General features: G+C 43.8%; 1 protein-coding gene across 10 annotated transcripts, besides 1 other annotated feature; it reads left to right on the top strand.

Annotated features, from left to right (window-relative positions):
• Window positions 210-710: an enhancer, noted in NCBI's record as "H3K27ac hESC enhancer chr19:57998906-57999406 (GRCh37/hg19 assembly coordinates)". NCBI's record gives its function as "activates a minimal SCP1, AML or CMV promoter by ChIP-STARR-seq in primed H9 embryonic stem cells {active_cell/tissue: H9 hESC(primed)}" and the evidence as "EXISTENCE:reporter gene assay evidence [ECO:0000049][PMID:30033119]".
• On the top strand, window positions 422-8,770 carry ZNF419 (zinc finger protein 419). 10 transcript variants are annotated; one of them, NM_001098491.2, is made up of 5 exons: window positions 422-655; window positions 2,819-2,857; window positions 4,140-4,269; window positions 4,785-4,883; window positions 5,528-8,770. In NM_001098491.2, the coding sequence occupies exons 1-5, from the start codon at window positions 623-625 to the stop codon at window positions 6,760-6,762; spliced, it is 1,536 nt and encodes a 511-aa protein (NP_001091961.1). In that variant the 5' UTR covers window positions 422-622; the 3' UTR covers window positions 6,763-8,770. The 10 variants fall into 10 exon arrangements, with proteins under 10 accessions (NP_001091961.1, NP_078967.3, NP_001278673.1 ...); NM_024691.4 differs by having other exon boundaries at window positions 4,143-4,269; NM_001291744.2 differs by lacking the exon at window positions 4,785-4,883 and having other exon boundaries at window positions 2,803-2,857.

The raw sequence follows: 11,713 nt of genomic DNA on the forward strand, positions 1-11,713 counted from the left end.
GGATCTATACGTGGCTCTTCCCAGAGAAACCTCTTTACTGTGGCCCTGAAGATCCTCTTCAATTCCTTCAAAAGAAGGAAAGATTGGGGTATCAGCTGCAGGAAACTGAAATCCAGGCCCATCTCCAAAAACAGCAGTTTCTGGATGAGTCCGAGAGAAGTTCTCAACCCTAATTTCTCCTCCATCTCCTATTCCGTTATCTCCATCTCCATCATCATCTCCATCTCCGTCTCCATCTCCATCATCATCTATCATCTCCAATCTCCATCTCCGAAGTTATGCCCACTTCCTGGAAGTTTGGAGGCACGGGAACTACATTGCCCAAAAGGCGCAGCGCCGCGAGGCGGCGATCCCTGACCAATGAAAAGAGGTCTGCCCGAGCGTGCGACACGCAATGGGCGGGACTTCCGGCGTCTCGTTTGGTATTCACTTTCGCGACTCAGGTGAACTAACCTGCGAGAAGCTGGTTGTGCGCTGAGGCGACCAGCGCCGGAAGGCACGGTGGCGACTCACGCTGTTCTCGCCGCTCAGAGGCGGGTCTGAGGCTCGGTGGCGGCGCCCAGGGTGGCCCGGGCCCTTTCCTCGGTCATTGTCTCCCCTCCAGCTCTACTCACAGGCTCCGATGGCGGCGGCCGCCCTGAGGGACCCCGCTCAGGTGAGCGCCGCGTCCTCCTGGCCTCCCCCGAATCCTAAAGCCCTGTGAGGGCCGCCTGCTCAGGTCCCCGGGTGCAGAACTGTGGGGCGTTCGTGCGCGGCGTCCCGTTTCTGACACGCAGTGTGATGGGGTGGCAATGGAGGGCAAGGGGCCCGGCTCGCAAAGATGTGAGGCGCATTCAGCGAGTCCCGAACCTGAGGCCTCCTGGTGTCTGTAGTGGGCAGCTTGGGAAGGGACGAGGCGCGTGTCGAGCGACAGCCCGAGCAGCTGCGCTTTCATCCTGAGGGGGCCACAGTGGCCGCGGAGGGCTGGAGACAGAAGAGTGACAAGATCTGTTTCTCAAAGTTTGCCAAAGGCCCTTCAAGTCAAAACAGACTGGGGTGGGGGTGAGGCGGGTGAAGACAGACCTGTGAGTAGGTAAATTCAGTAGACTAGTGGAGAGTCTACTGGGACTGGGCCACAGAGGAGGGGAAGTGATCAGATCTTGGATGGATATCAAAAACTGAACAGACAGGAATTCCTGTTGCATCAGATGTGACTGAAAGAAAGGGAATGAAGAGCCATTCTGGATTTTTATTTGTATTTTTGTTTGTTTGTTCCTGAATATCAGGAAGGATGGAGATGGGTAAGGCTGTGCAGGGAGTAGGTTTTGGACATGGTAATCCTGAGATGACCCAGAGTGGAGGTGTCGTGTCCACATGGGCAGCTTGCCCACTCACATCTGGAAGTTTGGGGAGGGATCTGGGCTGGAGATATGGTAGATATGGGCTGGTTGGGTAGAGGCCTGGACTAGGGTAAGTCCTGGGGCTCCTATTTAGGAGGGAGAATCTTAAGGTTCCCTTTCAGATGGGCCCTAAGGTGAGAGAAGGGAGAGATGGCCCTGTAGGACGGGGCTGCCTCTATAGCATGGAGTTTTGTGGTCAGAAGTGGTTCTGTCTGGTGTCTGCCGGAATGGAGGGTTATAGAGTATGAAGACCCAGGACTGCATGGAGACTGCAGTGTTGAGTAGTATATAGGTTTGCCACTCCAGGCTCAGCAGTTCCTCATGTACAGTCCGTATGGACAAAAGGAAACGTCAGCCAGGCTGCTGGAGCAGCCCCTTTGGTGCCTAAGTTTCCCTAGCCGTCAGCACAGGAGGGATGATCAACTGCTCCAGTAGAAGGGCTCTCAGCAGGATGGTCTTCAGGGGAGTATATAGCAGGCAGCCAGGTTGCCAAAAGGAATGGTATGTGCTCAGGTTTCTCAGACCCAGGTCCCAGTTTATTAACTTGTGAATTTATGAGGTAAGTATTTAAGCACTAATTGATCATAGTTCATATACACACAGGGGCAAATAAAACAACACGGATTTATTAAGTTAAACTGATGTAAGCACTTCATAATTGGTTGTAAAGTTAGTATACTGGAAAGTATTTGATTAAAATAAAGCACCTTAAGTATCACATTCTTAATTTAAAAGTAAGTTTAAGAAACCCATATTTTCTTTTTCTTTCTTTCTTTCTTTTTTTTTTTTTTTTTTTTTTGAGACAGAGTTTCGCTTTTGTTGCCCAGGCTAAACTGCAATGGTGCAATCTCTGCTCACTGCAACCTCTGCCTCCCTGGTTCAAGCGATTCCCCTGCCTCAGCCTCCTGAGTAGCTGGGATTACAGGCATGCACCACCACGCTCAGCTAATTTTTATATTTTTAGTAGAGACGAGGTTTCACCATGTTAGCCAGGCTGGTCTCAAACTCCTGACCTTAGACGATCTGCCCACCTCGGCCTCCCAAAGCATTGGGATTACAGGTGTGAGCCACTGCGCCTAGCCAGAAACCCACATTTTGAAAACCTACCAGTTTATTTGCGCTGAAAATGTTGACAGAAGCATTAATTATGTGTACAGTAAGAGTTGATACTTAGTCCTAGACACATAAGAATGAGTTTGATACAAACAATCGTCCTATTGAGTAAATACCATTATTATTGCCATGTTGCAGATGGCAACACCAAGGCACAGGGAAGTTGAGCACTTTTCCAAGGGCACACAACAGGTAAGAGGCATCACTAAGAACCAAAGCCCAGATTGTAGATAGTCAGGCACACCTGACTCCAGGCTAGACGAGTGGGCTTGGATGATCCTTTGGCAACATCACTGTCTGGTTCTCATAGTCTTGATTTTCCATAGGTTCCTGTGGCTGCAGACTTGCTTACAGACCATGAGGAGGTAAGTGGAGGATGTCTCAGGTCCTCACACTCCTGCACTCCTACCTACATGGTCTTCAGAATTATGGTGTCTTGAGGCTCCTTGCTGGCTATTCTCCCTACCCTTCCATTTGAGTTCCCTGGAAGATGGTCACACACAGTCAGGGCCCTGAGTCCAGACTATATATTATTTTTATTATTTTCTTTTAAGACAGAGTTTTGCTCTTGTTGCCCAGGCTGGAGTGCAAAGGCGCGATCTCGGCTCACTGCAACTTCTGGCTCCTGGGTTCAAGCAATTCTCCTGTCTGAGCCTCCCGAGTAGCTGGGATTACAGGCATGCGCCACCACACCAGCTAATTTTGGATTTTTGGTAGAGAGGTTTCTCCACGTTGGTTAGGTTGGTCTCAAACTCCTGACCTCAGATGATCCGCCCGCCTTGGCCTCCTAAAGTGCTGGGATTACAGGCGTGAGCCACCGTGCCCAACCCAGACTATGTATTCTATGGAGAGGTTCTCATTTCTGGCAACCAATGACAGGAGGTTTAGAAGGCATAGTGATCAACATTAGAAAATACATGGAGGTAAGGTTGAGCTGGGAATGCTTAGACAACCTCAGATCTCCATTATGTCTGGGGGAAGCATCAGCGGGTATAAGGCCAACATGAAGTGATTGGCTGAGGAGCTGAGCTGAGGTGTCCTGATATGTGTGCAATTCCAAGTAGCTAAAGATGAAGCAAGAAAAAGAGCCAAGGAGGGAGGCCTTCAAAGTGGGGCTGAGGATTGGCCCTGGCAGTCAGTGCCATTGGGGGTCTGGGATGGCACGGAGTTCTGATTGCATTTGGTAAGTGCCCTCTGGATGCCATGTGTAGACTGGCATGTGGTGACACTAGGGGAAGCACATGAGGTGATGTAGAGGGTAGTGGTTGTGGTACAAAGTATGTGCACATTCTAATAAGTGTAAACAGATGTCCCCAGGACCTTGTACTGGGGGCTTCAGGGAGAACACTGACACAAATTTGATTGTATTTGAGAAACACAGTCTAGGGGATCCAAGGTAAATTGTCTGGCAAGAGAAGAGTAGGACTCTGCATACCATGCCCAGAGCTGAGATGGACTTTATCTGCCTACCTGCCTATTGTTGCTCAGTGGGAGCATGAGGAGAGAGTGGGCATCAGTGGCTCTGGGGCAGGGTCTCTCCTCTGAGATGGGGATTAAGGAAGAGGGTGAGCAGGGGTGGATGTTTAGGCAGATGCCTAAATTTCCCAGTAAGGAGGCTGCAGATAAACTCTACTCTGTCCATCTTAGCAGGGCTATGTGACCTTTGAGGATGTGGCTGTCTACTTCTCCCAGGAGGAATGGAGATTGCTTGATGACGCTCAGAGGCTCCTCTACCGCAATGTGATGCTGGAGAACTTTACACTTCTGGCCTCTCTGGGTAAGGTTCTCACACCCCACCCCAGCATCCTGAGCTGGGCTCGGCTTTTCCTCCTTTTCCTAGGGAGAGGTCTGTTCTTCCCAAAGCTGAACTGTGGGCACTCATTCCTTCTCCAGTATCCTGAAGTAGCTATTGTAATAGGCCTGGGCTGTGTATACTACCACCTTCTCTCCCCAAGCTGCCCCACAGCTGTGCAGGAAAGGGTTTGGGGGTCAGGAGTCTTGCAGTCAGCTTGATGGATCTTATCCCTGGTGGCCTCTCTGTGGCCTGGTGACACTGTGCAGATCTGTGGTAGTTCTATTCCCCTACATTCTGCCTGTCTCCTCTAGCCAACATACCTGGGTGTCGGTCTGTGCCAGCAATTGAGTCACCAATGTGATTGCTGTTTGACTGTGTTGTTCCTGCAAGACCCTCCTCCAAGGTTCTTTCTGTACTATTTTGTTTTCTTTCCTGTGGTCCATGATGAGATAAGTCATTCTGGCTCAGTGCTGCCACTCACCTGTCGTTTTCCTTAGGACTTGCATCTTCCAAGACCCATGAAATAACCCAGCTGGAGTCATGGGAGGAGCCCTTCATGCCTGCTTGGGAAGTTGTGACTTCAGCCATACCGAGAGGTAGTTGGTGGGTGGAGCTCAGGGAGGTGTGAACTCAGGGATGGATTCATATCATACCAGTAGGCCCAGATATTTTGATACCAAGGCAAGGGGTTGTCGCTGATTTCTATCTTTTCTTCCTTAGTCACCCATTTATATCTATTCTGATGTTTGACCTAGGGCCATTCCCCACCTCTCTGTCCTCCATGTTTCACCCAGTCATCAGCAGAACCCTTCAGCAGTGGCTTTCACTGAATGTGTGGTGAGGTGGATGCTTATCCTTGCATAGTCCTTGAGCATCAGCTATTTGGTTGCAGTTGGTTTTTTCTGGACCTGGACATAACCTTCTGTGCCGTGTTCCTGTGTCTCCAGCAGCCAAAGTCCTGTGGAAAGCCATTTGCAGAGGATTGTGTTGGGGACACTGCCTCTCCTCCCTGTGCTATACCCCATCCTTGCATCCTTGGTGCTCATGAGGCCTCCCCAAATCCTTGAGCTGGCCAGATTCAGCACTGCACAGCAGGCCCTTCCCTGCTGAGAGCTAGCCCTCTTTATTTCTGCTAGCAGCCCCAGGCACTAATTACTGGGTGTGTTAGACACATCTGTGAGAGTGCTGCCTCCTCACACCAAAGTCTACATTTACTTCTTCAACATTTATCTTCTGTCAGGTTGTTGGCATGGAGCCGAGGCTGAGGAGGCTCCTGAGCAGATTGCTTCTGTAGGACTGCTCAGTTCAAACATTCAGCAACACCAGAAGCAGCACTGTGGAGAGAAACCCTTAAAAAGACAAGAGGGCAGGGTCCCAGTTTTGAGGAGTTGCAAAGTTCACCTATCAGAGAAGTCCTTGCAAAGCAGGGAGGTTGGGAAGGCCCTCCTGATCAGCTCAGGTGTTCTCAAGCACCAGGTGACTCACACAGGAGAGAAGTCACATAGGAGCTCCAAAAGTAGGGAGGCCTTTCATGCTGGAAAAAGGCATTACAAATGCAGTGAATGTGGGAAAGCCTTTGGTCAGAAATATTTACTTGTTCAGCACCAGAGACTACATGCTGGGAAAAAGACGTATGAATGCAGTGAATGTGGGAAGTTATTTAGAGATATGTCCAACCTTTTTATACACCAAATAGTTCACACTGGAGAAAGGCCTTACGGGTGTAGTAACTGTGGAAAATCCTTTAGCCGTAATGCTCACCTCATTGAACACCAGAGAGTTCACACTGGAGAAAAGCCTTTTACATGCAGTGAATGTGGAAAAGCTTTCAGGCATAATTCCACACTTGTTCAGCATCACAAAATCCACACTGGAGTAAGGCCTTATGAGTGCAGTGAATGTGGAAAATTGTTTAGTTTCAACTCCAGCCTCATGAAACATCAGAGAATTCACACTGGAGAAAGACCTTATAAGTGCAGTGAATGTGGAAAATTCTATAGCCACAAGTCCAACCTTATCAAACATTGGCGTGTTCATACTGGAGAAAGGCCTTACAAGTGCAGCGACTGTGGGAAATTTTTTACCCAATGCTCAAGCCTCATGCAACATCAAAAAGTTCACACTGGAGAAAAGCCTTTTAAGTGCAATGAATGTGGGAGATTCTTTAGAGAGAATTCCACCCTAGTTAGACATCAGAGGGTTCACACTGGAGCAAAGCCTTATGAGTGCAGGGAATGTGGGAAATTTTTTAGCCAAAGCTCAACCCTCATGCAACATCGAAAAGTTCACATTGGAGAAAAGCCTTTTAAGTGCAATGAATGTGGGAGATTGTTTAGAGAGAATTCCAGCCTTGTTAAACATCAGAGGGTTCACACTGGAGCAAAGCCTTATGAGTGCAGGGAATGTGGGAAGTTTTTTCGCCACAACTCCAGTCTTTTTAAACATCGAAGGATTCACACTGGAGAAATGCAGTGATTGTGTGAAATCCTTTAGCCAGCGTTTCAACCTCATTCAACACCAGAAAGTTCACAGTGGAAAAAATCTTGAAGGTAACAGATGGAAATCCGTTAGCCACACCTCCAGTCTCATTCAACACTGGACAGTTTACAATGTGGACAATGTAGTGAATATGGAAAAAGGTTTCAGCCAAAGGCCTAACCCTATTCAACACCAGAAAGTTTACACTGGAGAAAGGCCTTAGGGTGACAGGTTATGTACTGTCTCTGAATCAATATGACCTCACTTAAAACAGAAACTCTGAGGATGGCCTTTATGAGGGAGCTGGCAATTGAACATCATTCATCTAAATATGCACACTGGAGGCAAGATGAGAATTCCTGACAGATTGTCCTTCCTGAGAAGACAGCCCTCTGCCTTGGAGCTCCAGAGAGAGGGAGCCCTGTATTCTTGGCTGTACCCGTCGAATGGAGTTTTGATCTCGCTGAGTTTGGAGTTGGGGGAGGAAAGGAGTGGTCTTGGTTCAAATGTGACTCACTTTTGCTGTTCTTGTGAATGTTAGATCTTCTTTAATAAATATTTATTTCCCATACACCCTTATGACCATTTCCAGAGACTGAATTGTGTTTTTATAATTTTCACCCTTTTGGCTGTGTAACAGGTCTGCAAAGCTCCTCATTCAGTTATTCTGTAAGTTGATCCAAATGTTTCAAATTTTAAGAACTTGCCAAATTGTGTTCTAAATGGTTAGCATTTCATATTTCCTCCTGGAATATATTAGATTTTCCATTTCTTCACATTACTGACAGTTTATATGTGTAGAAGTCATAGGCCATTCATTTTAGCCATGTTACTAAGTGTGAAGTAGTATTTCATTGTAGTTCTTAATTTGTATTTTTCCGATGACTCAGTTTTGAGCATTTTTTAATGTGTTTACTTGTCACCCATATATCTTCTTTAGTCAAATGTATTTTTTGCCTGTTTTTTAAAACATTTGGTTGGTTACAAGTTCTTAATATTTCTGGAGACAAATTCCTTATTTGATATAAGCATTGTCAATATTTTCTCATGGTCCATGGCTTTTGTTTTCTTTTCTTTTTTAAAATTTAGAGATGAGGTCGTGCTATGTTGCACAGACTAGTCTCTAACTCCTGGCCTCAAGTGATCATCCTGCCTCAGCCTCCCAAAGTGCTGGGATTACAGGCATGAGCCACCATGCTTGGCCTTGTTTTCAGTTCTTAACAGTATCTTTCCTAGAGCAGATTGTCTTAATTTTATGGAGCCCAATTTATCCATTTGTTATTTTATTCATTGTGCATTTGGTGTTGCATCCTCTTACTATACCATATCTTTGCCTATAAATAAAAGCCTTGACTGAGTGCGGTGGCTCACGCCTGTAATCCCAACACTTTGGGAGGCCAAGGCGGGTGGATCACGAGGTCAGGAGATTGAGACCATCCTGGCTAACACAGTGAAACTCCCTCTCAACTAAAAATACAAAAAATTAGCTGGGCGTGGTGGCGGCTGCCTGTAGTTCCAGCTATCCTGGAGGCTGAGGCAGGAGAATGGTGTGAGCCCGGGAGGCGGAGCTTGCAGTGAGCCGAGATTGCGCCACTGCACTCCAGCCTGGGGCACAAAGCCAGACTCTGTCTCAAAAAAAAAAAAAAAAAAAAAAAAAAAAAAAAAAAAAAAAAAAAGCCTTATGTGAGTATGCTACTGTAATCTTATGAATCTTTTTAAATATCCAACTTCTGAAATATTTGTAGGTTTAACTACAAATAAATAATTCAATATATAGATAAATGTGTACATATTCCCTATCTTTACTGAGAGCCTAGCAAGCCATGGCATTCCAGTAGTTTTGAGCACATTTAATACCCAGTTATTGGTTTATATCATTTTTTAATAAAAGGAACCAGAACTCCTTAGAGAAGAGGCTGTTTTCAAGTTGTGGCAGAAAAGGTACAACATGATTTGAGGAAATACTGCATTGGAAAATAAATAAATGTTCACAGAATAATGTTGACATATTAGCTTTTTATTGCTATCCTGACAAATCACCACAAACTTATGGTTTAAACAACACAAATATAACAGAAGTCTCACTGGGTTAAAATCAAAGTGTTGGCATGATTATGTTCCTTTCTAGAGTCTCAGGGAGGATCTGTTTCTTGCTTATTTCAGTTGTTAGCATATTTAAGTTCTTCGTGGTTGTAGGACTGAGATTCCTTTTTCTTGATGGCATCAGCTGAGGGTCATTCCTAGGATATATAAGAACTTTTATGAAAAAGGAAGAAGTAATACCAATTGTATACAAACTTCCAAGAGGACAAAGGTTCAAAGAATTCTGGACTATATGAAAGTTAGCATTAACAGGACACTAAAGCAGGCAATGACATTAAACAAAACTATAGACCAATAATCACATGAATATAGACACAGAGCCTTAAGAAAATTTTAGCAAATTGAGGCACTCGTCCTTCAAATCACCCCCTTGGGTCTCTTCCAAGCATACTTGCCTTTCTTTCCTGTTCTAAAGCCTTTTTAAATAAACTTGCACTCATGCTAAAACAAAACAAAAAGACATTTAGCAAATTGAATCCAGCCATATACAAACAATAATAAATCATAACCTAGTGAGGTTTATCAATAATACAAGTTTGATTCAACAATTCAAACTCTTTATTAATCTATATTAGCAGACTAAAATGAAAATCTCAAAATGTAATAAAAGCATTTTACAAAATTCAAAACTAGGTTATGATACATGCAACAAATTAAACAAGATGGTGATTTCTTCAACCTGATACAGCACATCTATGAAAAACAGCTAACAGCACATTTGATATATATGTGATCAAATATTTGATAAGCTGATTTTCCCCAACATTAGGAATAACATAAATACGTCAACATTCATCACTTCTCATTAAAAAAAAAATCTAATGATTGTAAAGGCAGAACCCAAACTGTCTGTATTTACATATGACATGATAATGTTGAAAATTCGAAATTATCTACTAAAAAGCTACTAGATCTAATAATTGAGTTTAGCAAGGTCCTAAGATAAAAAGGCCAGTGTATAAAAAGTAGGTGTCTCTACTAGGTTGGTATATAGCTAGCAAATACATGCTTGGCAACTGAAAAAATGTACTTCACAATAGCATAAAAATATGAAATATTTAGAAATAAATTTAACAAAATATGTTCAAGAACTTTAAAACATTCCTGAGAGACATTAAACAAGGCATAAATAAATGACACAAGAAGTTCCTGAATCTGAGACTTAATACTTTGAAGTTGTCAGTTTTCCTTTAACTATCCTAATAAAAACCTAATCTTTTAAATAAAAATTTACAAATGTATTCTAAAAAGTTACATGGAAATACAAAGGGCCTGGACTAATTGCCAAAACAATTTTATAAATAAGAATAAGTTTGAAAATCTTTATGACTTTAGGACATACAAACGTACAGTAATTGAGAGTACAGTATTAGCTAAAGGACAGAGATGAACAGAAGAGAACAGAGAACCCAGAAATACACTCACACAACACTCTATTGTCAATCTCTTTTCAAGAAAGTTGCAAAAGTAGTAAAACAACTTCAGAAAACAGTGTAGCAGCTTTAAAGGTAGCATAAGCTTACCATATAGTTTAGGAATCTTACCTATTGGGATATCCCCAAGAGAACAAAAGCATATGTTCTAGAAATACTTACACTTGCATGCTCAGCAGTTTTATTTATAAAACCCAAACACCAGAATTTGTTTTTAAAACACACACACACAAACTAAAATTTCCGTGAACAGAAGAATGAATAATCAATTATGGTATATCTTAACATAAAATACCATTCAACAACATAAAAGAATAAACTATGAATACAAGTAAAAATATCATAGATAAATCTGAAAATCCCTGAGCCAAGTGGAAGAAGCCAGACACAAAAGTTGACATACAGTATGATTCCATTTATATGAAATGAAGAAGCTGCAAAACTAGAGTAAAAGAATGCAGATCACTGGTTATTGAGCCTGCGGTCTGAGGGGGAAGGTTCTGACTGAAAGAGTACAGGAAAACGTTATCAGGCAATGGTAATTTTCTCTATCATGACTGTGTTGGTGGTTTCATGACAGTACAGCTGACCCTTAAATAACACAGGTTTGAAATGCACAGGTCCAATTATATGTGAATGTTTTTCAATAAATATACTGGAAAAAATTTTTGAATATTTGAGACAATTTCAAAAAACCAGAATTCATTGAAATAGGTATGCCAAGAATGCATAACACAAAATATATGTAGGTTCTATTTTATCATTACAAAACCAGAGCGATATTTTCTTTTCTTTTTTTTTGTTTTTGAGACGGATTCTCTCCCTGTCGCCCAGGCTGGAGTGCAGTGGCATGAACTCCACTCACTGCAAGCTCCACCTCCCGGGTTCATGCCATTCTCCCGTCTCAGCCTCCCGAGTAGCTGGGACTACAGGCACCTGCTACCACACCCGGCTAATTTTTTGTATTTTTTAGTACAGACGGGGTTTCACCGTGTTAGCCAGGATAGTCTCGATCTCCTGACCTTGTGATCCACCCGCCTTGGCCTCCCAAAGTGCTGGGATTACAGGCGTAAGCCACCACCTCCCTACTCTTTCTACCCAATAAATATGAAGGTCTGTGGAAGCTCAGGGCCCTTCCTCACTAGAAGCAAGAAGCCCCCTGACCCCTTCTTTAAAACAGATTTATTTTGCCTTTGTTTTCATTTCTGCATTCGTTCCCCTTCGTTCAGTCCCATAGTAACTGTGACAGGAATATGGAGCAGAAATGGATGAAGGGGAGAAATTGAGGGGGAGTTGGCTTATGGGTTTGCTGCCTGTTGTTGTGCCTTTACACCAATGTTGGGTCCTTGAGGAAGGAAAGAACACAAATGAGAATGGGGTGAAAGAGGAACGTAAATCCTTGGGCTCCCCTA

The sequence above is a fragment of the Homo sapiens genome, chromosome 19, assembly GCF_000001405.40.
Source record: "Homo sapiens chromosome 19, GRCh38.p14 Primary Assembly".
NCBI lineage: Eukaryota > Metazoa > Chordata > Mammalia > Primates > Hominidae > Homo > Homo sapiens.

Bases quoted from the DNA above. Each gene is read 5' to 3' on its own strand.
- ZNF419 (NM_001098491.2), top strand. From the start codon at position 623: ATGGCGGCGGCCGCCCTGAGGGACCCCGCTCAG. The intron at 656-2,818 runs GTGAGCGCCGCG...GATTTTCCATAG, and splicing joins CCCTGAGGGACCCCGCTCAG to GTTCCTGTGGCTGCAGACTT. The intron at 2,858-4,139 runs GTAAGTGGAGGA...TGTCCATCTTAG, and splicing joins TGCTTACAGACCATGAGGAG to CAGGGCTATGTGACCTTTGA.